The 26456-nt window shown below is 41.5% G+C and overlaps 1 protein-coding gene across 17 annotated transcripts in view; it reads left to right on the top strand.

The window, feature by feature from the left end:
• Positions 1-26456, top strand: part of CDK5RAP2 (CDK5 regulatory subunit associated protein 2) — a 191293-nt gene that overhangs the window by 138333 nt on the left and 26504 nt on the right. For all 17 annotated transcript variants that reach the window (NR_073558.2, NR_073556.2, NR_073554.2 and 14 more), the window contains 4 exons: positions 1863-2436; positions 4308-4540; positions 19094-19142; positions 21875-22047. Coding sequence is in view for 12 of the 17 variants with exons in the window: in NM_001272039.2 (NP_001258968.1) it covers positions 1863-2436; positions 4308-4540; positions 19094-19142; positions 21875-22047 (1029 nt within the window). In the remaining 5 variants the exon portion in view is untranslated. The remainder of the gene's footprint in view (positions 1-1862; positions 2437-4307; positions 4541-19093; positions 19143-21874; positions 22048-26456) is intronic.

The following is a 26456-nucleotide window of genomic DNA, read 5'->3' as shown; positions in this document are numbered from 1 at the left end:
TCTTATTGAGTAATTATCATAACATTGTGTATAATAAAAATACTGTATTAGGAATGCTTCCTTTAGGTCAGGTAGCAGCTGCTTTCTGAAATGAAATGCCATACTTTATGGTATTTGCATCATGAACAGATACAAGAGTGTACCTCAAGTCACAAGGAGCAGATTGCAGAACCAGAAATTGGGACATGCAGTCTGATGAGGATTTGTGTGTGAATTTCTTTCTGAGAGATCTCCTAGGTCACCCAGTCCAACCCACGTTGTTGCTTTTGTAGCATTTTTCCAGGCTGGCCTTCGCACGCACGCCTCCGGTGAAGGGCATCTCCTTCTATCTTGGAATGGTTAGAGGATGTTTGTGTTACTTGGATTCCTTCACTACTATGTGCCAGACACTGTGCTAGCCTTTTTTTTCTTTTTGCAGATTTTGTTCCATATAATCCCTAAAAACAAACACACACACACAACTTTTCAGTGATGTTCTTTCCATTTTACAGATAAAGCTACTAAAGCTCAGAGAGGTCAAGTAACTTGCCTATGTGACAGAGCCAGAGTTTGAAACCATGTCTGTTGAATTTCAAAGACAGGTTTTTCTACTACATTCCGCTGCCCCTTAAGTATTCAGACAGCTCTCTATATTGAACGGAACTTTCCCTGGGCAGCCAGCAGTGTGGCACAGTGGTTAAGAACAGAAGCTGCACTACAACCATATGAGACATCTCTTTCTACATTTTAGACACAGGGGAAACTGAGGCTCTTGGATAGTAAAGTCACTTGCCTCAGGCTGTGTGGCCTTCAAACTTCATATTCTTTCTGCTGTACTACTCCACTTCTGAAACAAGTTTGACTGCATCTCTAAGGGTTTAGCTATTACTAGCTATAAGGAAATATTTCCTGGCAGTGTTGTGAGTGAGTGAAACACCTCACTAAAGGGGATGTCAGGGCATCTCCTGGAAGCCATTAGACATGGAAATGAGAAGACTGTCACGTGTTGTGGATATTCAGAATTACCACTCTTTACTGTTGCTTCACAGAATCTCTCAATATTTCTCACACTGGCACTGACTTCTGGTCTGGGTTAGGTTCTGTACTAGACGCCGAGAATGTGAAAATGAAAGGCCACATCTCTGCTGTGAAGAAACGTGCAGTCTGGTGAGGGAGAGCTACATTCAGATGACGAATTGCTATGTGAATCAATAAATAAGCCACTTAAAATTTTTACTTTAGCACCCAGCACATAGTATATTTGTCTTGAGTAATATGCATAAGGTGCTACAGAACCACAGCGAGTTGTGACTTTTGCATAGTTTGGCAGTGGGCTTGCAGAGGAAGGAAAATTAGATCTGGGTATGGAAAGAGTTCATTAGGTAGGAGTAGAATAGAGGGCTGAAGGTGTTCCAGGCAGAGGGCACGGCCCATGCAAAAGCATGGAGGCATGACACAGCACGCAATGTGCAGGGAATCATGGTTAATTTTGTAGGAAATCTCCAGAGTGGTGCCAGAGATATTCCTGGAAAGGTTGCCTGGAACTAGATCATGGAAGGTCTCATGTAGATACTGGGAATGTCGATGAATTTTAGGGGGTGTGTGTGTGGGTTTATCATGGTTAAAATTACTTTTTAGAACAGTCACTCTGAGGAAGAGGACAACTGAGGGGTAAAGAGGGAAAGACTAGGGCTTTTTGAGGGAGGCTTGTTAGGAAAGACTGGAGGCTTTTTGAGGGAAGTGTGTTAGGAAATACTAGGGCCTTTTTGAGGGAGGCTTGTTAGGTCACTGCAGTGGTCTTGGCTTGGCTAGGGCTGTGAGGAAGGAGAGAGGGTTTGGATTTTAGTAAAAGAGATACTGACATAAGTGTATTTGATTTTCAGACTCTGAGATTTGCCCACCTGATGACCTTGCCAGCTTGCCATCATGCAAAGAAAATCCTGAAGATGTTCTGAGCCCAACTTCAGTAGCTACTTACCTGAGTTCCAAGAGTCAGCCTTCTGCTAAAGTCAGTGTGATGGGGACTGATCAGTCAGAGAGCATTAATACCTCAAATGAGACAGAATACTTAAAACAGAAAATCCATGACTTGGAAACTGAGCTGGAAGGCTACCAGAATTTCATATTTCAGCTTCAAAAGCACTCCCAGTGCAGTGAGGCCATAATTACAGTTTTGTGTGGGACAGAAGGGGCCCAGGATGGCTTGAGCAAGCCCAAGAATGGTTCTGATGGGGAAGAAATGACCTTTTCAAGTTTGCACCAAGTGCGATACGTGAAACACGTGAAAATCCTCGGTCCGCTGGCCCCAGAGATGATTGACAGCAGGGTGCTGGAGAACCTCAAACAGCAGCTGGAGGAACAGGAATACAAGCTGCAGAAGGAGCAGAATTTGAACATGCAACTTTTCAGTGAGATCCATAATCTGCAGAATAAGTTCAGAGATCTCTCACCTCCCAGGTACGTTCCACCTCTGCCGTCTCCCCGTTTAAGCCTGTAGTCCCCCAGTATTGCCACTAGGTGGGAGCCCATGAGCTAAAAGAGAACACTACTCTGTGATGGGTAGAGTGTGTTCTGGGGAAGGCTTGATGGTGGGGTTCAGGCAGCCAGGTCCTGTGGAGAAGGGAGAGGTGAGGCCACAAAGAAGAGGAACAGCGACCACGCACTTGAACGTCAGTTACGAGTCTTGGGTCCTCTGGAAATCTGCAGGGCAGATTTCGCCCTCCTCAAGTTGGGGGCTCAGGGTAAAGGTTTCATACCAGTCACTTGGTGAGTGATAGTGCCTTTGCTGAACTGCAGTGTGTACTCCTGGACTCTGTTACTGGCTTTTGCTGTGCTGTGAAACTAAAACTGATGTCTAGGCAAGGTAGGAGGAATATAAATATTTTCCATATCTTTACCCTTTAAGGTCATCTTAGAGAAATAAGCTTGTGTTGAAAGAGAAGAATTCTTAGGTCATGAAGATAATGCTTTATGGGCATAGATATATACGGTTTTGCTTCATGAGATATGGCAAAAATGGGATCATTAGTAAAGTTGACCTTCATTTGTCACTAATTTGAGTCAAACACATTGTTCTGAATTGTCAGGAGCCAGGATGAATTTTTCAAGACTTCCCAAGCAGTGAGATTGAAGGAAGCTTGTAATTATTGAAAGGCTGTTGTCTCAGGCCCCTGGTTAGGCACTTTTCTTATCTAATCCTCAAAATCACCTGAGAAGGAGGTATTCTTAAACTAGTTATTACAGGTAGGGAAACTGAGCCTCAAAGTAGCTGCAGTGACTTGGCAGAGAACATTCACAGAGCTGGTCAGAGCCATTGCCAGGGTTCAAGCCCACATCATCCCACTCCAGTACCCATGTTTACTCATGTTACTCATGAGTTACCCATGTTTACCCATGTTACTCCAGTACTCACATGATACTGGCCCCCACCTTTAATGCTGGTATCATGTAATCTGCATGTGCACACTCTATGTTGAAGGTGACTGCCAGCCCATGTAGTGTTGTCATTTCCAGGAAGGAGAAAATTATGTTGAACTGAAGTGTCAACATCTTTGCCAAGCTACTCTCTGGAGCAAGGTTATTGTGGCCAGTTTACATGAGTCACATTTCCCTTAACCTGTTTACTTCTCAGTGTCTTTCTCTTATGGGCTCACGTAGGAAAAGGTGGCACATGACGGTAAAAAGGTAATATTGCATAATGATCTTCAAAGTGAGAATTGTGTTTGAATCCAAAATCTTTACCACTTAATTAGCTTTGCAGTCAGTTTATTCTTCTGTAAAAGGGGACATTTATACATTTGTTGGAAGACTGAGAGGATCAGATAACATATAAAGCACTGAATTCAGTTACTGACAGGTCCTAGACCCTCAGTAAATGGTAGTTAGCATCATGATTATTCAGTGACGTTTTGTTCGGGAGGAGAGAGTCCTGTCTTTTTTTCTTTGTGGTACACTTTCTTTATCACACTTCATGAGAATTTTTGGTAGATCCTCTGACCCTTGGGGCACTTGTTTCTACAATTCAGAATAGTATTTTTGAAGAGTGTATGGAAACTTATTGTTTGCCTGAGTTCTTGCCAATCTGTACTTTAATTGGGGGCTTTATAAGGTTAAAAATGTTGCAGAAGAATCTTTGTTCCAGCCTTTGTTGGCTGTGTGAAATCAAAGAAGAGCTGACCTTGTACAGTTTCAATTTTTCTAAAAGTATATATACTTGTACAGCTGCAGGCTTTTAAAAATTGTACTCTGTCATTTTTCCAATTAGTGTTAAGGTCACAAAAATTCAATTCTAAAATGGTCCAAGTATTTTCTTTCCCCTCTTTTATCAGATACGATTCATTAGTTCAGTCCCAAGCCAGGGAGCTCTCCCTTCAACGGCAGCAGATTAAGGATGGCCATGGCATCTGTGTCATCTCCCGTCAACACATGAACACCATGATTAAGGCATTTGAGGAGTTGCTGCAGGCCAGTGATGTGGATTACTGTGTGGCCGAGGGTTTCCAGGAACAGCTGAATCAATGTGCTGAGCTGCTGGAGAAATTGGAAAAGCTATTTCTCAACGGTAGGTAGGGTGAGGTACGCGAGTCTTAAGACATCAGTAATTGACCCAGGACTTCTTGGAGGGGCACAGGAGGAGCTAACTCCTTGGCCTTAGTTATCTTTCACCCCTCTGCCTTGATGAGGTGACAGCAGAACCACACTGGCTGCTGCTTCCTCCCAGTGACCACTTCCACATGGCTTGTGGTCGGCACTGTTACAAACCAGGAGTCCAGTTTAGACGCCTCAGGGGCCGGGCTGGTGAGGTACATGAGTGAAGCCAGCCAGAAGGCACTGCCTCTCACTCAGCAGTGGTCACGTAGTTGCCAGTTCTTGCATCTTACAAATTTTCCAGAAAAGATGGGATTTTTTATTTATTTATTTTTTTTTGTGAAAACTCATGTGTTTTAAATGTTGGCAAGCAAAAAATCCAGTCAACCAAGCAAAATTTTTATCAGTTAAAAAGTATATCGAAGAGTTAAGGATGGCCAGAGGAAGGGTGAAAGAAACCTTTGCTATGTGCTAGGTAAAATTTTTAAAATAATTTTTTTTTGAGACTACAGCAAAGAACTCCCATTTACTGTGCACCCAGCTTCATCAGTTGTTAGCATTTGCCACATTTGTTTTATCTTTCCCTGTCTGTACACACACGCGCTCTATTATTATCTTTCTGAGCTCTATGAGAGTGGATTGATGCTATGATGTTCCTTTCTCCCTAGATAATTCAGGGTGTGGTTCCTCAGACCAAGGAAATTCTCGTGCATAACCATGGTATTGTTATCACAATCAGAAAAGGTGTTGTCTAATATACTATTATCTAATATACAGCCTATATTTGAATTTTTATAATTAATTCAATAATGTCTTTTATGACAGTTTATTCTGGATCCTGATCCTGGTCCGGGATCCAGTCTCCACGTTACATTTAGTTGTCATGTGTCTCTCGTCTCCTTTAATCCGGAGTAGTTCCTCACCCTTTCTTCTTTTCGTGATGTGAACATACTTCAATAGTTCAGGCTAGCCCCTCGCTTTGGGATTATCTGTTCTTTCCGCAAGACTCAATTCATGATTAGATTAAATTGGTTAGATTAGATTGGCTATGCAGTTTTGGCAGGAATGCTGCATAAGAGATTATTTTGTTCTTATGGTGTTTTCTTAAGGAGGCACACAATATTAATCCCGTTTTTGGTGATATTAACTTTGATCACTTCCTTAAGGTAATGTCTGTCAGTTTTCTCCAGTGTAAATTATATTAACCTGTGTAATGAATAATTTGTAGAAGATACTTTGTTATTCTGTAAGTATTCTCTTCCTCTTCAAACTTCTACCATGAGTTTTACCATATATTGATGATTCTTGTCTGAGTCAAATGTTCCTATGACAGTTTTTTTCTAACACTAACATTTTTTAATCACATTCCTTCTTCATTTATATTAGGTGGCATGTACTAGAAGAATGCATTCTCTATTAATTCCTTTTATTACTATATTTCTTGTTTGTTTATGATCAGTGTGGGCTTAAAGATTCTTATTTTATTCAATGGACTATTATCCATTCTGACATTCATATTATATTGTCCCAGATTTGGTAAGTGGCAGTTTCTTTTGACATGTCTCCATCTTTTTGGGAGTACGTCCTTACTTTCTGGGACAAAATAGATTTTCCATGCTCATCCTGTACTGCTTCTGCCCTGAATGAGCCATTTCTCCAAGAGCCTTGATTCCTTTTAGTGAGGAATGATATTTAACCACCAAGATTTGGTGCTAGGTGTGTTCATTGCTACGAGGGTATCATTGTGTCTAGGCCCTTTAGCAGGCGTGTGTGTGTGTGTGTGTGTGTGTGTGTGTGTAAATGTGTAATTTATTTTTTAAAAAAATCATTACTTCACAATGGTGCCTTTAATTCCAGTCCAGACTCACTGGGTTCTTTCCTGTTTTTCCCGCTTCCACATTTTTACTTCCCTTCTCCAACACTAAGAACCCTGGCTCTGACAACATCACCATATCTGCTGATTTACTCAGTTCTGTAATATATACACATAGTTCCAGAATTACTCCACCCTTTCCACTGTGAAAAACAAACCCACTGGAAGAGTTTAAGATTTGTTTATTAAAGTAGTTCTCTTTGTTTTTAGGCTAAAAATACATTATAGTATGTTCTTGAATTTAAAAGTTGTTTGGTTTCATTCTTTGTACAGCTGTTGTTGGGTTAGTCATTTGAAACACAATTAGATTCATTTGTTTTTATTTGTATTCAATTTTAGAGTTTTCTACCCTATTTTTATTGATTTAATTTTTTGAATATGTATAACATTAGCATGATTCCAGAGTCAAAACTGTATCCTTTTAAATTGCTGTGTGAAGTCATTATTTTTCTCCTTTTCCCTTATCTCCAGTAGTATTGCTTTCCATTCCCCTTTCTCTCTTAAACCCATTGGGACTGGACTCTGAGTTATCTCAACCCCTCCACTGAAACAGTTTGCCTGACACTAACAACTTCCACTTTGCCAAATCCAAGGATCAGTTTTCAGTCTTCATCTTGCTCAGACTGCAGCAGTATTTGACGTGTTGATCCCTCCCTCCTTGGCTGACTTGGCTTCCAGACGATGCCACTGAGAGTTCAGTTCTCCTCTCCCTCCCTGGCTGCCTCTGTGCAGCCCCGCCTTCTGCACGTCTTCCATCCCTGACCAGTCCTCACCACCAATTATTGCTGCCACCGCTTCAGCTCGCCTCTCTTCTCTCACCTGGATGCTGCAGGCCTCTCCTGTTTGGCCTCTGGGCTTCCATCCTTGTCTCACTGTAGTGCATTTTCCACACAATAATCAGTGATCTTTTAAAAATGTAAGTCAGATCATGTCCCATCTCTGCCCCCAAATCAAAGCCTTTCCTTTTCATTCAGTGTAAAAGTCCAGATAAGGGCCTGCAAAGCCCTGTACCATCGCCCTGGCTGCACTCTCTCCTTACTTCTGCCGCCCCACCCTCTCCTGCTTCCCCTCCCCAGCTACTGACCCTGCAGTTTTTCTAGCATGCCCAGGCCAGCTCCTCCTTCAGGGGCTTTGCACTTTCTCTTCTGTCTGGTGTCCCTGATCCCTTCAGGCCTTGTCTCAAATGTCATCATATTAACGAGGTGCTCTTTGACAGCTCTTTATGAAATAGCAAGGCACCCCTGCCTATCACTGACATTCCCTTTTTCCCTTACCCTGTGTTATTTTCCTCGGTTCTACCCACAACCATCTCGCATGTTATGTGTTTACTACCCGTAACCATCTTAACCATCTTGCATGTTATATGTTTTTTATTCTGCCTTCCCTGTAGAAAGTAAGCCCTACAAGGGTGCATGGATCTTGTCTGTTGTGTTTGTTGCTGTAGTGCTAGGATATAGATAACGTTTGATGTATGGTGGACACGTAACACATATTTTGAGAGAATGAATAAATGAGTGAGTGAGTCAGTGAATCTAGTGTTACAGCTGTGGAGAGTGTGGCCCAGTGAGAGTAAGCAACTCATCTGTGACCATTTGTGGAGTGAATGGCAGAGCTGGGATTTTAAATCAGGTCTCTGGACAAAAAACTTTTCCTACTAGAGCTACTTGTATTATAGTTGGTATCATATAGGTTATTTGATTTAAACTTCACAATGACCTTGGAAGCACAATGTATTAGTTCAGTTTTATAGATGATGAACTGAGGCATAGAGAAATAACCTTACATATTTAAATAAATGGGCCTAGTAGTGAAGAATGCAGTCATTGGAGCTGGGCTGGCCAGATTAGAGCTCTGGTTTCCCACTCGTAAGCTGTGTACCTTGGGAAATTTACTTAATTCCTTGCCTCAGTTTCTTCTTTCACCTGTAAACTTAGCATTCTAATACCTAATTGGTGGAGCCTTTGTAAGAATTAAATTATGGATGTGAAGCCTTGCTTGGCTCAGTGCTGGGTGCATGGTTCTTACGTACTGAGTGCTTATTAGTATTTGTACTTGCTGTGAGTTGGGGCTTAATCCTCAGAACAGCCTGTTTTTCAGGTGAGGAACTTAGACTTAACAAATAAGAGTTTGTTGTTCAAAGTCACAACTGACTTGGCGGAACCAGGATTTAACTCTGTTCCTCTTGTCTTCATATGTACAAAATAGATGGTTTATGATGGCCCACATAGTTCATTTAATTCCAGGATAGAACATGGGATAGTTTACCCATCTGGGCCTAGTGAATGTTTTCCCCCAGCTTTTGCGAAGGGCCCAGCAGCTTAGACCTGCTGTAGACTGGTTTTGCTAATACCGGTTCCCAGGACTTTTGAGGACCAGGGTATATAGGAGTACCTGACTTTTCCCAGCTTTATGAAAACCTACTTCCTTGTAGCTAAGGGTATTCTAAATAAGCTAGTTTTCATTTTATTAGTGGAGAACTATCTGGGTCCTCATGATAAAGCCGTATCTTCCAGGCCCAAGTCATTTTCTGTCGGCCTCTTCTTGAAGGCTCTCACTCTAGGCCCTAGGAAGTGGAGAGCTGAGAGTGGGTGCCTCTGGCACCAGCTGCCCTCCTTCCTTCATCTAGCCACTCCCCTTGGTTTATTTTTTAGTTATTTACCTTGACACACCCAAGGAGAGCCTACTTATTCTTTGTGGGTTCTGCAGGCAGACGAAGCATTTTAGACTTAGCAGATAACACAAACATAGAACTTGATTTTCTCCTACAAAAAGCATAAAAGTCCCAGAAACCTCACCACAGCTCCTTTTCTTGGGGACTAAAATGTAACACAGAGGTAGCTCTTTCTTGGATTCATATAAGGGGTCTGGCTCTTGAATTATGAAACAAGCTTATCATAAAACAGTTTTATATTCGAGGCAGTCATATAGCATGAGTTCTTAAAAATTTAAATATAGCCTTTAAAAAAATTAATACAAAGCAATACATGTTTACTGTGGAATAAAAGATAAGCAAATACTCCTATAGTTGCATCACACAACAAAGTGTGAATACCCTGGAGTATATATGCCCAGACCTTTTTTATTCATATGTGTATTTTTTATGGAAATGGGACTGTTTGCATCCTCTCCCTTTGTTCAGTTATAGATAATAAGTATACATTGTAAGTTTTAGTGGCTGCAGGGCATTCTTTTGTATAAATGTACCATAATTTATTTAATAATTCCCCATTAGATGAACATTCAGATTGTTCCCATTTTGGGGCTATTATAAAGAACACTGTACTGGAATCTTTGTGCATATCCTTGCTATTTCTTTAATAATGTTTGGTTGGTAGGCTCCAAGAAGTAGGATGGTAGCGTTGTTTCTTAATGCTTATAAGGGGACTCTCCCTTGGCTCCATTAAACTAGGGATTCCACTAGGGATCTGGAAACCTGCAATGTACATTTTTCTGGGGTGAGGGTCTATAACTTAGATTCCCAAGAGGGCTGGGATCAAAATAGATCAGGAACTGGTGTTGCAGCCAGAGTTTCCACTGTATCCTTGTTCTTGGTGCCTCCCAAGAGCAGTTGTATGAATAAGGCAGGTGGTATTTTGTCTGTAGGTATTTTTGAGTAAGCTGTGTTTGACACTGGGAAAGGTACAAAGAAGACAGTTTGATCAGTGAGCTCACCACATGAACAAAGATAGCTCCTGGAATCCTTTGCCTTAGTTCTCTGCTGAAAGAAGTGAACCTGAAACATTGGTTTCTTCTCAAGGCCTTCCACAGTCTGGAGGGGGCCTTTGCCAGGGGCCTTTGCCAGCCCACCACCCTCTGATGATGATGATGATATGAAGAAGTTGAAGGAGAAACAATGAGGAAGTGAGAAAGACTGATCTTTATTGGGTGCTTGCAATATGCCAGGCATTGTTCTCAGCCTAAGAGGAAGTATTATTTATTATCCTCATTTATTAACAAGTGAGGAACGGAGAGGTTCATTCACTTGGTCTAAGTCAGACAGGAAGTGACAGAGTCTGAATTTGAGTCCATGTAGTTCACTTTCACAGTCTACCCTCCTAACCACCATGATATCGTGCTTTTCACACTCCTATCAAATTGGATTAACTGGTCAAACATTTCTTCTTCTTCTTATTATTATACTTTAAGTTTTAGGGTACATGTGCGCAATGTGCAGGTTAGTTACATATGTATACATGTGCCATGCTGGTGTGCTGCACCCATTAACTCGTCATTTAGCATTAGGTGTATCTCCTAATGCTATCCCTCCCCCTTCCCCTCACCCCACAACAGTCCCCAGAGTGTGATGTTCCCTTTCCTGTGTCCACGTGTTCTCATTGTTCAATTCCCATCTATGAGTGAGAACATGCGGTGTTTGGTTTTTTGTCCTTGTGATACTTTACTGAGAATGATGATTTCCAATTTCATCCATGTCCCTACAAAGGACATGAACTCATCATTTTTTATGGCTGCCTAGTATTCCATGGTGTATATGTGCCACATTTTCTTACTCCAGTCTATCATTGTTGGACATTTGGGTTGGTTCCAAGTCTTTGCTATTGTGAATAGTGCCGCAGTAAACATATGTGTGCATGTGTCTTTATAGCAGCATGATTTATAGTCCTTTGGGTATATACCCAGTAATGGGATGGCTGGGTCAAATGGTATTTCTAGTTCTAGATCCCTGAGGAATCGCCACACTGACTTCCACAATGGTTGAACTAGTTTACAGTCCCACCAACAGTGTAAAAGTGTTCCTATTTCTCCACATCCTCTCTAGCACCTGTTGTTTCCTGACTTTTTAATGATTGCCATTGTAACTGGTGTGAGATGGTATCTCATTGTGGTTTTGATTTGCATTTCTCTGATGGCCAGTGATGATGAGCATTTTTTCATGTGTCTTTTGGCTGCATAAATGTCTTCTTTTGAGAAGTGTCTGTTCATATCCTTCGCCCACTTTTTGATGGGGTTGTTTGTTTTTTTCTTGTAAATTTGTTTGAGTTCATTGTAGATTCTGGATATTAGCCCTTTGTCAGATGAGTAGGTTGCAAAAATTTTCTCCCATTTTGTAGGTTGCCTGTTCACTCTGATGGTAGTTTCTTTAGCTGTGCAGAAGCTCTTGAGTTTAATTAGATCCCATTTGTCAATTTTGGCTTTTGTTGCCATTGCTTTTGGTGTTTTAGACATGAAGTCCTTGCCCATGCCTATGTCCTGAATAGTAATGCCTAGGTTTTCTTCTAGGGTTTTTATGGTTTTAGGTCTAACATTTAAGTCTTTAATCCATCTTGAATTAATTTTTGTATAAGGTGTAAGGAAGGGATCCAGTTTCAGCTTTCTACATATGGCTAGCCAGTTTTGCCAACACCATTTATTAAATAGGGAATCCTTTCCCCATTGCTTGTTTTTCTCAGGTTTGTCAAAGATCAGATAGTTGTAGATATGCGGCATTATTTCTGAGGGCTCTGTTCTGTTCCCATTGATCTGTATCTCTCTTTTGGTGCCAGTACCATGCTGTTTTGGTTACTGTAGCCTTGTAGTATAGTTTGAAGTCAGGTAGTGTGATGCCTCCAGCTTTGTTCTTTTGGCTTAGGATTGACTTGGCGATGCGGGCTCTTTTTTGGTTCCATATGAACTTTAAAATCATTTTTTCCAGTTCTGTGAAGAAAGTCATTGGTAGCTTGATGGGGATGGCATTGAATCTATAAATTACCTTGAGCAGTATGGCCATTTTCACAATATTGATTCTTCCTACCCATGAGCATGGAATGTTCTTCCATTTGTTTGTATCCTCTTTTATTTCATTGAGCAGTGGTTTGTAGTTCTCCTTGAAGAGGTCCTTCACGTCCCTTGTAAGTTGAATTCCTAAGTATTTTATTCTCTTTGAAGCAGTTGTGAATGGGAGTTCACTCATGATTTGGCTCTCTGTTTGTCTGTTATTGGTGTATAAGAATGCTTGTGATTTTTGTACATCGATTTTGTATCCTGAGACTTTGCTGAAGTTGCTTATCAGCTTAAGGAAATTTTGGGCTGAGACAATGGGGTTTTCTAGATATACAATCATGTCATCTGCAAACAGGGACAATTTGACTTCCTCTTTTCCTAATTGAATACCCTTTATTTCCTTCTCCTGCCTAATTGCCCTGGCCAGAACTTCCAACACTATGTTGAATAGGAGTGGTGAGAGAGGGCATCCCTGTCTTGTGCCAGTTTTCAAAGGGAATGCTTCCAGTTTTTGCCCATTCAGTATGATATTGGCTGTGGGTTTGTCATAGATAGCTCTTATTATTTTGAGATAACGTTCGATCAATACCTAATTTATTAAGAGTTTTTAGCATGAAGGGTTGTTGAATTTTGTCAAAGGCCTTTTCTGCATCTATTGAGATAATCATGTGGTTTTTGTCTTTGGTTCTGTTTATATGCTGGATTACATTTATTGATTTGCGTATATTGAACCAGCTTTGCATCCCAGGGATGAAGCCCACTTGATCGTGGTGGATAAGCTTTTTGATGTGCTGCTGGATTCGGTTTGCCAGTATTTTATTGAGGATTTTTGCATCAATGTTCATCAAGGATTTTGGTCTAAAATTCTCTTTTTTGGCTGTGTCTCTGCCCGGCTTTGGTATCAGGATGATGCTGGCCTCATAAAATGAGTTAGGGAGGATTCCCTCTTTTTCTATTGATTGGAATAGTTTCAGAAGGAATGGTACCAGTTCCTCCTTGTACCTCTGGTAGAATTTGGCTGTGAATCCGTCTGGTCCTGGACTCTTTTTGGTTGGTAAGCTATTGATTATTGCCACAATTTCAGATCCTGTTATTGGTCTATTCAGAGATTCAGCTTCTTCCTAGTTTAGTCTGGGGATAGTGTATGTGTCGAGGAATTTATCCATTTCTTCTAGATTTTCTAGTTTATTTGCGTAGAGGTGTTTGTAGTATTCTCTGATGGTAGTTTGTATTTCTTTGGGATCGGTGGTGATATCCCCTTTATCATTCTTTATTGCATCTATTTGATTCTTCTCTCTTTTTTTCTTTATTAGTCTTGCTAGCGGTCTATCAATTTTGTTGATCCTTTCACAAAACCAGCTCCTGGATTCATTAATTTTTTGAAGGGTTTTTTTGGTCTCTATTTCCTTCAGTTCTTCTCTGATTTTAGTTATTTCTTGCCTTCTGCTAGCTTTTAAATGTGTTTGCTCTTGCTTTCCTAGTTCTTTTAATTGTGATGTTAGGGTGTCAATTTTGGATCTTTCCTGCTTTCTCTTGTGGGCATTTAGTGCTATAAATTTCCCTCTACACACTCCTTTGAATGTGTCCCAGAGATTCTGGTATGTTGTGTCTTTGTTCTCGTTGGCTTCAAAGAACATTTTTATTTCTGCCTTCATTTCGTTATGTACCCAGTAGTCATTCAGGAGCAGGTTGTTCAGTTTCCATGTAGTTGAGCGGTTTTGAGTGAGTTTCTTAATCCTGAGTTCTAGTTTGATTTCACTGTGGTCTGAGAGACAGTTTGTTATAATTTCTGTTCTTTTACATTTGCTGAGGAGAGCTTTACTTCCAACTATGTGGTCAATTTTGGAATAGGTATGGTGTGGTGCTGAAAAAAATGTATATTCTGTTGATCAAACATTTCTGTGGGCCAGGCCTTGCATTTCCCCTCTTCCATGATTCCGTTCAAACCATTATTTTTTTCTGTAAGACTTCTACTCCCTTTCCACTTAGAGAAATTAGAGAAATTCTGCCTATCCTCCAGGAATCTTTCTTTGTTCACCTGAAGTGGAAGCAAAATTTATTCTTTCCACCCCCTCCCACCCCCGGTTTGTTTATAGCTTGCACTTGATATTCACATCTGAGTTTGTGATAGAGGCTGTTGCAAGGGTGTTGGGTTAGAAAGAACAAGACCTTTGGAGTCAGACAGACTGGAGTTCAGATCCCAGCTTTGTGGGTCATTTATCCTTTGAAGGGCCAGATTTCCTCTATGGGGGAGAGCAGTACCTGTCTTATAGAGATGTTTGTGAGAATGAAATGACATTATTTAAGCTTGTCCAATCCGTGGCCCATGGGCTGCATGCAGCCCAGGACGGCATTGAATGTGGCACAATGCAAATTTGTAAACTTTCTTAAAACATTATGGATTTTTTTGTTTTTTAAGCTCATTGGCTATTGTTAGTGTATTTTATGTGTGGTCCAAGACACAGAGTGGCCCAGGGAAGCCAAAAGATTGGACACCCCTGATTTCTCTCATTTTTAAATTTCTGGCCAAACAAAAAACCCAATAGACACTCCTGATTTGAAGGGTGTCCTGCCTTGACAAATAGGGGGAGCTCAGGAAGATACATCAACCAAAATTAAAATTGTAAATCCTACAGCTAGGTGAGGGGACCCTTCCCTCAGCTAAGGGAACCCAACAAAACCTTAAAAACTAGTTCAGACCATGATGGGAAAGTGGGGGGCGGTCAGACATGCCTCATTATACTCTCCTCCCTTTGGAGCTGGCACACAGCTGACCAGTATTAACACTAAAATAGAGATCCTTAGGCTGACTGAACAGACTCTGTAGCAATAAGAAACCAAATTCTAACCTGACTCCATTATAGCATCACATGACAGATTGCAGGGCTCTGAAAGAAATCAAAGTATTGTACCCCAAAATATATTTCTTTGACATGTTTTGAAATGGCCCTGAAATGCTGTCTCTTGTAGGGAACACTTACATTCTATAGAGAATCCCCTTCCCTTTCTCCTTTTCTGATCCTGAAGAGATTGGCTGAGAGTCCAGCACCTTTTAACGATCTGAATAGGAAATATTTGCCTCTGAGGATGGCCACCTCTGGGACTTCATCCACATAAGAAAAGCCTTGGTCTCTGTAACCCCTTAGCTTAACTCAGACACTCCTTTCTATTAATTCCAGGTCTTTAGATAATAACTCTTTCAACCAAGTGCCAATCAGAAAAATGTTTGAATCCACCAATGACCTGGAAGCCCGCCACCCACTTTGAGTTGTCCTGCCTTTCCGGACCAGACCAGTGTATACCTCACATATGTTGATTGATATCTTTTGTCTCCCTAAAACATATAAAACCAAGCTGTAACCCAGTCACTTTGGGCACATGTTCTCAGGACCTCCTGGGGCTGTGTCACCTGTCATGATCCATAACCTTGGCAAAATAAACTCCAAAACTGGTTGAGATCTGTCTCATATACTTTTTGGCTTACAGTGGCAACAATAATAATGGGGCATGCATGTCATGGTTAACAGAGTGATGCAGGCTTTCAGAGAAAATGGAGGGTTTTTCCTCCTAAGAATCCCTGGAACTGCCCTCCCCAGAGTCCCTTAAGTGTCTTCCCATCTTTATAAAGCAGTTCTTCCCTCCATCAAAGATATGGCTCCATTGCCACCTCCCCGAAATGTTCCTTGATGGTCCAGGCCAGATTCTGTTTGTCTCCTCTGTGTGCCTTCCCACAGCATCTGTTGCGGCCCCTTATCACAGTGTGTAGTGCAGTTGTCTTTTGGGTCCACCCTTTCCACTCAGGTGAACTCACTGAGGATAGGGTGGCTCCTCATTCATCTCTGTATCCTCAGTGTCTGGCACAGGAACCTGAGTGGAGCACTGTAAATATTAAAATAGAATTAGTTTCTACCAATTACTAGAGAGGTGGAAAGGAAGAAACATCTGGGTCATGTAGGAGATGCCAGGCTGTGACATTTGAAGTTAACTCTGTAGGACTGATGGATTTTGAGCTCGGAAGTACTGTTTCAAAAGTGGCTTCTTAAGCACTGTACAGAATGGATCAGTGCAGAGAGGAAAGTGAAGTTGGGTCAACCAGTTGTAAGTTTGTCTGGCATAATAGTCTTCTCTTGCTTGTTCAGTTATGGATGGGATAACTAGATGTTTTTTATTTGAAAAGATGAAGTCCTCCTATTGTCTCACACTACACATCTCTTAGGTGTAGCAACAAGATTTGCCTGAGAGATGGGAGCAGCATTTTCATGACATGCATCCTAAGCTTTTGAATAGCCAGACAGATGGTACCCTGTTACCTGTGTGAGGGCAGTTTCCACCCAGAAATTCAATGCATTAGTTGTTGTGATCTCCCTGTGAATCCTACAGTAACTATTTGTCACTTGGTTTTAAAGAATTCTGTTATAATAATAGGGGAACGGGTGGAATACAGTTGTTGTTGAGTTGTTGCAAGCTCCTCGAGGGTCTGTTATTTGATGGGGAAACTCATGCTGCTGGTGGCATCAGGGCACATCCTGGTGTGGTCATGAGTTTGGTTAGGAATGGAGGAGAGGTTTTTGATGGGTCTAAGATCTGGAGACCCGGAATGCTTAAAGCCTGCCCCAAACCAAGGGTCCCCACCCTGTGAAGTTCCTGAGGAAGATATACAACTAAAGAACAATGTGAATGTGGCCAGGTGCAGTGGCTCACGCCTGTAATCCTAGCACTTTGGGAGGTCAAGGCAGGTGGATCACTTGAGGCCAGGAGTTTGAAACAAGCCTGGCCAGCACAGTGAATACTCTACTAAAAATACAAAAAAATTAGCTGATGGTGGTGGTGTGTGCTTGTAGTCCCAGCTCCTCAGGAGGCTGAGGCATGAGAATTGCTTGAACCCAGGAGGCAGAGGTTGCAGTAAGTCGAGATCGTGTCACTGTACTCCAGCCTGGGCAACAGAGCAAGACTCCATTAAAAAAAAAAAAAAAAAAGAGCTGTGAGAATGTGAAGCAGAATGTCATGTTACTTTGTTTGCCTGGCTAGTACCTGAATAAGTCCTAAGCTTTTTGGAAGGCTGGGCTGGCACTGATGGTCCATTCTCAGGGTCTGCAGGGTTAGTCTTATCTGCTGAATGTTGGTAAGCAGCCCAGTGCAGGTATGAGATGAAAAATGTTGACTAAGCTGTTCTTTTAACACACAGTTGTCCCTGCCCATTAGGGATGGTCTTACAAGCTGGTTCTTCCAGTAAAGGTCTGGAACTCTGACTCAGTCAGGTTTGGATTTCCCCCTTGAAGAGGATTGTAGAGGACAGAAATGTGGAGTCTTGAGAGCATCCACTGATGAAGGCCTGTCAACCTCTATCTACCTTTCAAGAAGCCAAAATACCATGCCATTTTTGGCCAGGATGTAACCAAGAGGCATAGGTTTGTGATTGAAGTAGCTATAAGGATATCTCCATCTGTCTTGCTTAACTATAAAATGTAGTAAAGTAAGGGAGAGTGTGATCAGACAAAGGGAGAGTTGAAACATTAAACCTCCTGGATTTCCACTTCTTTGCTTTAAAACAGAGGTACTAACACCGTGCTCATAGGATCATTGTGAGGCCTGAAGGAGATAGTAGATATTAAAGAGCCATACTCAGGCCCTGGTGCCTGGTCACTCAGGCCTGTGTGACTCATTTCTGATGGTGACAGTGCCCTGCCATAGTAGGTGACTTTCTACCACTTAGCATGTTGCACTGACTCTTGGTGCCCAGGTGGCTGGCCTGGTGGGCGATAGGGAACCTGGATGGCCATACCAGCCAGCCGTGTGAGTTTGTAGGTGGGAACTTCTAGACTTAAAGCAAATGTGCAAGGATTCAGTGATCTTTTCCTCTATACTGTGGTGTTTGAGAACTTTTCCTTTTAGGAATAGTTTTGAAAATTGCATGTGTGGGTGCAGTTTAATTATAGTCTCATTTTTCAAGTACAACTGTAGAAGAGTTTGTTTTTTTCTTTAGCCACGCATCAGTGTCTTCAAAGAGCTCATCCCAGCCTGCAATTTCCAGGGTTCTGAAGTATTTTTAAAATAAAGTTGTTAGTCTCTTTGAAATCTAGGCTCATGTGCTTCCTTTCAAACAGCAAATGATAACATGCAGGAAGAGAGCAGAGCGTCTTTTGCCCAGCTACATTCTGAGCTTTATTTTGTTTTCTTTTGTCATTTTTTTAAATCATTTCCCCTGCTGTAGACAGTGGGTTTTTCAGCTGTACTCATGTACTCCTTTTCCTAGTTTTAATCCTGCTTCTGAGACCCTTCCTAAAGAAATAATTAAAATGCAGATAAAGCTGTATGCACAAAGATGCTTATTTTATTTGTTTATAAAAGTGAAAATTTGCAAATGACCTAAGTGTCAAATAGAGAACTGGCAAAATTGTGGTAATGCATGCCTACAGTGGAATATTAGCGCAGACATTAAAAATGATGTTTCGGAAGCAAATTTAGTAAGAGAAATGGCTATAATAATAATATACTAAGTGAAAAAATTATGTTGTAATATGGTATCTTCCATGCCAAAATGCATGAAAAAAAGAATGGAAAGAAATCCAGTAACTTGGCTGTGGGAGTGCCAGGATATTGATCTTTTTTTGATTCCGTTACCCATTTTCTGTAATGAGCATATATTCTGTTAGTATCAGAGTTTGAGAGAAAGAAAAAGACACCTGCACCAGCAATACCTTGTGATTGCTTTTTAGATTCAGTGCTGTCACCTAGCACTAGTGTCAATGCAGTGATAAAGGAGAAGTCTATAGTCTGAATTGTACTCTTGGTAATCCTACTTTAAATATCCAGGATTGTTACAGAGTGTTTAAACAAGTGGAATAGTGCTTCTGCAAATGTATGAGCAGGAAATTATTAGGGAACACTTAAAAACATTTTTTTCTCCTCCTTTCTTGATGTTATTTCTGCTTCCAGGAAAATCAGTTGGAGTGGAAATGAACACCCAGAATGAACTGATGGAGAGGTGAGTGTGTAACATTTGTTAAGAAGACTTCCCAGGACTTTCTAGGTCTGATTTACCTGCCAGCTTTTAAAATATTTTGGCTCCTTCCCATTCTGTTTGTTTCCTGCTTCTTGTAAATAAGGTATAAACATCTATGGAACTGACAATGGCCATACAAAACCAAGAGCTCATGCCATATGTCCTGTTGCTTTCATTCATTCATTTCAGGTTACTTGTGTCATCTCTATCAGGTGATTTGAACCAGATGACATATTCATTTGTTGGCTCCCAGATACCTGCAAGATAAACTCCAGACTCCTTAGCCTGGCATTTGAGGCCTTTCTCATTCTGACCCCAATTCTCTTCTCCCCTGCCCATTCTCCTCGCTTCCCTTCCCCTGATGTACCCCATGTTTTAGTCCTATTTGGCTTTGTATTATTCTCCACACCATAGCTGTGCACTCTGCCTTCCTCCTCTTGAAGTTCGAAAATCATTCTTCAGAGTCCATTCAAATGTAAATGAACCTGGTTCTCCCCAATACCCTCCCTCTCCACCACATCCCAGCGTCAGTGATTCTTGCTGTAGCACTTGGACATAATTACATTACAGCATTTACCACATGGTATTGTAATGCTTTCTACATTTATCTTTCTATTCCCAGAGTTCCTTGGAAGAGGAAAGGAGCTAGCTAGTGTTCACTAGGTATTGGTGTGTGTCAGCTGCTGTTGTAGGCATTTCACATTTACTAGTTCTCACCATATAAAGTTTGAAGTAACTATTTTAGGATGAGGAAGCTGTGGGTCAGAGTTGCATATTTGCCATTACAAGGCAGAGCTAGGATTTGAACTTGAATCTGTCACACTCCATCCAATGCATGTCCTCTTCCTGTTATTCCACATTGTCTTTTGAGGGCAAAGCCTATGTCTTGAATATCTCTACCTGCTCCAGCTCCAAGTTGCTGGCATGTAGTTGGAGATCAGAAAATAATCATGGAATACATGAATTGTATAATTTCTTAGCTTGTGTCTATGGCCAACTGAAAATGCCAAGGTCTTGCCCTCCTTTATTTAGTTGTTAAAGATTCTGAATGCTATTATTGTTGCTGTGTACTTTCCTCTTCTTTAAAGATGTGGTCCTTTGGGCTTCTGGGAATAAAATAGAGACCAGTCTAGGGTGCAGACTTGTAGATTTTATTGGCATCACGAAGGGCACTTGCATCGTTAGAGCGAGTGGGCAGAGAGGTATCACAGCTCACAGGAGGAGTTTTAATCAGGGCTTTTGCAAATTTAAAAGAAATACTCTTCTCCCATTGCAGCATTGTCAAAGATCCCTCCCAATTCAATCCTCCACTTCCATTCTTATAATAATAGATCACATCCCACTGGCATGCTTTAGAGAGGGCAAGGAAGGCTTCCCAGAGTGGGGCCATTCTTAGCTGAGATCTAAAGGGTGAGAGTTGAAGGGGCTGGGGGCTGTCAGGAGAATGTCCAAGCCTGAGGCAAAGGAGACACGGTCCCTTTGAGCATGTAGCTGGCACATAGAGGGTCAAAGCTGGAGAGGCAGGCTGGTTCTTGTTGGGCTGGTCCTCAAATGTGTTAAAAGTCCAAACACTATTCTATAGGAAGTAGGGAGTCTTCGAAGGAAGGTAAGCTGGGACTAGACATGATCACATTTGCCATTTAGGAAGACTGCTGGGGTTGCTTGCAGAAGGAGTTGGAGTGAGGGATGGAACCTCTTTAGCCTCCTCAACCAATGTGCCACTCCTTTTCATTTCTGACAGATTTGTTTTTTTCCTTCTGTTCTGCCTCTCTCAACTGTAGTTTAACTTGGGCCACTTCTAAGTCAATTAAGTGGGTGCCCTTGGCCCATGCTGCACTTCTGCAAGCCAGCAGCAAGCCTGTGCATCCATCACACTGTCTGGGCAAAGTTGCATCAGGTGTTTACCTGTTAATGAATGCATTGCAGCCTTAGAGTCTTTGCTGTTGTCTGAGCTCATGAATAATGAGACTGTGGCTGTTGACAAGAAGTAATAGGAAGACGTGGGAGAAAAAAAGAGCATCAATTAAGGAGTTTATCTCTAATGGAGATTCATGTGGGCTTTTCACAGCATTTTTTTTTTTTCTCATGGCTTAGGTGGTCCTTGGGAAATACAGGTTAATAACCAGATGATTGCTAGAATAACGATATTGAAACCTGCTTGGGAACCATGAGAGTTTTGAGATTTTTAAATCCATAGGCCATCTCATGGTTTTGGGCTGGGCTCTCACATTCTCCTGGGGCCTTGGAGCCAGGCAGGCCTGGTTGAAATCTAAACTGTGCCTCTGACCAAGCCGTGAGACAGTGGGCCAGTTTATGATGAGCCCCAGTTCCCCCAGTCTAAATGAGGATAGTAATCCCTACCTCAAAGGGTTTCTGTGAGGCCCAACTAAAATCTCAAATGCTTGGTATAGAGAGGTTATTTGGTAAACAGCTGCCGTCGACCCAAGTCCTCTTGGGTCCCTCCCCTGTAAGCCATGCTGTGGGACAGGCACAATCCCCTGCTTCCCCTTGTTGGCTTCAAACTCAAGCGCACTGAGCCTTTCTTGCTTTTAGAATGTCATTGCTTAATGCTGTAGGGAAATAAAAGGTCTGACTGAAGTTGCAAACATTGGGGAGTTACTAAGAGTAAAGTAATCGTAAGTATTCGTAAGTCATAGTCCTGGCTTGGGATTTTAGCATGGGAGATGATTTATCTTTCAATCTCAATGGTTAAGGATTGAGGAAGACAACTTAACCTACCAACATCTTCTGCCTGAATCTCCTGAGCCTTCAGCCTCTCATGCGCTCTCTGATTATGAAACATCTGAAAAGTCCTTCTTCTCACGAGACCAGAAGCAAGATAATGAGACAGAGAAGACTTCAGTTATGGTGAACAGTTTTTCTCAAGGTAAGCTAAGCCTCATTAAGTGTTTTAAACATGGCCTGATTAAAACAATAATTTGCCATCTTAACCTTAGTAAGCAGAGTGTGGTGACATTTGAGTATTTCTCTGATGAAAGGAGATCCCATTAGGGCCAATGCTGGTCATTCAGAGTATCCTTTATCACTAGAGAAAGCTATGGTTGTTGAAAGTGTTGGCGATTGGGGAAAAGCCATTTTTATTTTTTAAATGACGACTTAATATGTGACTTGCCATTTCCTGCAGGCTGTGTGTCATTGAACTTGTATGTCAGTGCAGATTTGGTTAATTTCCTATTGTTTATTTCAAACTCATCCTAAGGCAGGGTCATTTCAGAGACTCTTCTGCTTTGAGTTGCCCAAGAGTATCTAGCCCCCTGTTCTGATATTTTTATATAAATACAACATTTGTGATTGTAGGAATCTACTTTGTTTTCCTTTAGTGTGACCCATGGCCCATTGGGTCAGGCCTTTTGTCTTAGTCTATTTGGATTGTTGTAACAGAACGCCATAGAATGGGTGACTTATAAACAGCAGAAATTTATTTCTTACAGTTCTAAAGGCTAGGAAGTCCAAGATCAGGGTAGAGCCAGCATGGTGAGGGCCTTCTTCCAGGTTGCAGACTGCCATTTTCTGGTTGTATCCTCACATGCAAGAAGGAAGGCGAGAGAGCTGGGGTCTGTTTTATGAGGGCACTGATCTCACTGTGAGGGCTCTACCCTCATGGTCCTATCATCTCCCAAAGCCCCCACTTCCTAATACCATTACATTGGACTTAGAGCTTCAACATAGGAATTTTGGAGACACAAGCATTCAGTCCATAACACCTTTGCTCTGCCTCCGACCATGGACTGAGTTAGCAGGTGAAAATTTTCACAGCGGCCCCATGCAGTGTGTAAAAGAGATAAGTATGGTGCCTTTGTCCCATGGTGGCCTCTGAGTCTTCTTGAGGACACTCAGGACTCAGAGGAGCCCAGTTTGAAGACAGAAGACATACCTAGAGTGTGAAGTCCACATTGTTGGCGTAACTGAGGTATCAGCTGGGGTCCTCCAGCAGCGTTATCTAGCCCTAGTTTCTTTGGATTTCTGGCTGTATCTCTTTGCAGTTTTTGTGAGTTTCTGAGTACTTGGTTTTTCTTGGTCATTTCTGGCTCTGCATTCTGCCTTTCCCAAATTTAGGTCACACCACGAATTGTTTCCCTGTCCCTAGTGCCACTTCTTCTGTATTGTATCCATTCAGTGTGTAACTCAGTGACTTTCCAGGAATCCCCAGAGACCACTCCCACGAGGACTTTGTGCAGACTTGATTGAGGAACCAGAAGGAAAGTGGTGTTTACAATGCAGCAACCCAAATTATTTAAACGGGAACTCTTGAGATCCCTATTCTTTTCACTAGGCAGTTCCCTCTGCTCCCTCTTGGCTGCCCCTCTTTTTCCACCCTTCGCCCTGTCCACCACCCCAACCTTGTTCTATTTCTAATGTAGAACCTTTTAGGCATTTCTTCTATTTCTTGCTCCTCTGTGGACCCATGACCTTGGGCTTATGATGCCCTCTTAGTGGGTTACCTGAACTGGGGCAGTGCTCCCTGGAGTCATCCCAGTAAGCCCACCATCATCTTTTTTGGTGTGTCTTCAGCCTTTTGCTCTCTGCATCTAGTTTTTCTTTTGTCTTTTGTCATATTTATGATTCGGTAGAGAGATAATTTAGTATTTTTCTCACTTAACGTTCTGTCCTAAGCTTTCCGACATGTTATTACATAACATCATTTTTAGTGGCTTTAGAATAGTCCATTGAGTGGCTGAATTGCAGTTTTCCTTCTGTTCCTCTGTCGCTGAACATTTAAGTCATTTCCAGATTTCACAATTGTAAACAATGCTGCAGGGGATATCTGTGAACGTGAAGCTTTTCCCTTATTTGGGGGCTTTTCTTAATACAGATTCTATAAATTGGAACTGCTAGGCAAGAGATACACACTTTTTTTTTTTGTGGTTGCTTATTGGATTTATGTTTTTAAAAAGTCAGCATTTGTCAAAAGGGCATTATTCTAAGAGAGAGAGATTTTTCTCCCATTTTGTAAAGGCTAGTATAGTGTTTCCTTCTCTTCAGTTTGGCTGTATAATTAATAAGTGGTGTCCAGTTCAACTGGGAATGTTTCCTTAAGCCCAAGTGATGATTCCGCCTCCTGGCCAAAGACTCAGTGGAAGATGGCATGTTTCGATTGCTGCTAAGCATTTATGTCCCCTTCTCACAGTCATGAGTGTGTGACTTGGATAAACCAGCAAGGAAGGTTGCAGTCAAACAGAAAAGTTCCTGACTGACTCCTACCTGACTAGCTGCTGGAGGAAGATTTGCAGGGCACCAAGGCAGGAGCAAGGAGGTACAGTGCCATGGGTGCCAGAAGTTTAAGGAGTGTGGAGGTGCAGTGCCGTGGGCGCCAGAAGTTTAAGGAGTGGGGAGGTGCAGTGCTGTGGGCGCCCGGAGTTTAAGGAGCGTGGAGGTGCAATGCCTGGGCACCTAGAGTTTAAGGAGCGCAGAGGTGCAGTGCCGTGGGCGCCAGGAATTTAAGGAGCACGGAGGTGCAGTGCCGTGGGCGCCAGCAGTTTAAGGCGTGGGGAGGTGCAGTGCCGTGGGCGCCAGCAGTTTAAGGAGCGGGGAGGTGCAGTGCTGTGGGTGCCAGGAGTTTAAGGAGCGTGGAGATGCAGTGCCGTGGGTGCCAGTAGCTTTTTGCAGACAAGAGTCCTTCTGTGCTGTGCTGCAGCGAGAGCTACGACATTCCACCAAATTACTTGCCACATTTCTGGCATTAGCAGGAGATAGCTGAAGGTCTGGGAATTAAGTCATCTCATAAACATTCAAATTCATGGTAAAATTACTATTTAATTAGGAAAAGATCTGTAACACTGTGCTACTTTTAAATGAAAGTCATTTTGGAGGAATTAAAACTGGGTCATAACATTAGTGTAATGTTTTAAAACAAACATTACTAAGATATACTGAGTATACCCTAATTGATAAATTAAAGACATTAGTTTTGCCTTTGGATACTTAATGTGATGATGCTTTAAACACTGATTCTAGAAACCTACCCCTGGATTGGAATTGTGCTTTCTTCTTTCTTTGTTAAAGTGAGATGTGGCAGAGGCTGAACAAATACATGCTCATTTTGGAAAATTTAAAATGTTGTGTATTATTAAGTATTATGTTAAAATGTAATATAGAATTTTTGAAAAATCTAAAATCTGCCACCTAAAGGCAACTGCTATTAATATTTAGATATATTTCCTTCTTTCACATATTTGTGTCTTTCCTTGTCTGTACAAATTTTTAAGTAGAGTTCTGTGATATTGTGAAGTATATATTTAGTCTTCCTTGCAGTATCCTTCATAATGAACCAGTAAACATAAGCAAATGTTTCCCTGAGTTTTTGAGCTGGTCTAGCAAATTAATCCAACCCCAGGAGGCGGGTGAGGGAACCGAATTTTTAGTCAGTTGGTCAGAGGCACAGGTGAAACAACTGGGGGCTTGCGATTGGCCTCAGAAGTTGTTGGAGGGGCAGTCTTGGGACTGAGCCTCAACCTGTGGATCTAACGCTATCTTCAGGTCCAACTGAATTAGAGGACGCCCGGCCGGTGTCTGCTGCAGAACTGTTTGCTTAGTCTGTGGGGGAAAAAACCCTCACATGTGGTCACAGAAGTCTTCTGTGTTGATTGTTGAGTGAGTGTATGGGAGAAACTGAATTTTTTTTTTCTATAAGTTGTGATTATGTTATCAATCTTGGATCTAAGATTTAGTATATTTTTTATGATATATAGTCTTCATAACATAATTTTAATAGCTATGTAATACTGCATCATCATGAATGTACTACAGTTACATTTGGAGTTACTTCAGTTCTTATGGTTACATCCAGTGCTAAGGTGAACCTTTTCCTCCATTCTGGCAAACGCTTGTCAGCATCTCTGGTGGTCTCTTTAAATAGAGTCCTAAGAGTTGAATTATTTGGTAAAAGACATTGGAAAATAACTTTTCTAAGGCTAAGTATAGAAGTAGCCCCAAAAGGTCATACACATTTATACTCATGCTAATAAGATGTTCTGTTGAGATCACTTTTCTTATTACCATTCTCACTAGCATTGTTTTGCTTTATTTAAGTCTTAAATTAGTAAATGATAAATGGATAACATATTCCTTTCAAAAAATTAGTCTCGAAAATATCTGGATTCATTATGAAGGTAGTTTAATCAACTCTCAGGCAATTCAAGCAGACTTGAAAGTGATCTGTTAGTTTCACCATAAGGAAGATTTTAAATTAATATTTGATATTTGGAAGAATAAAAGGCTACATTAGAGTTAGCATTAAAATTGTATGGAATATAATTTTTTCTATGTGATGTAAAA

This window comes from Homo sapiens, chromosome 9, assembly GCF_000001405.40.
Source record: "Homo sapiens chromosome 9, GRCh38.p14 Primary Assembly".
In the NCBI taxonomy this organism is placed as follows: Eukaryota; Metazoa; Chordata; class Mammalia; order Primates; family Hominidae; genus Homo; species Homo sapiens.
Note: the sequence above shows the minus strand (reverse complement) of the source record. Positions and strands in the feature narration are given on the sequence as shown.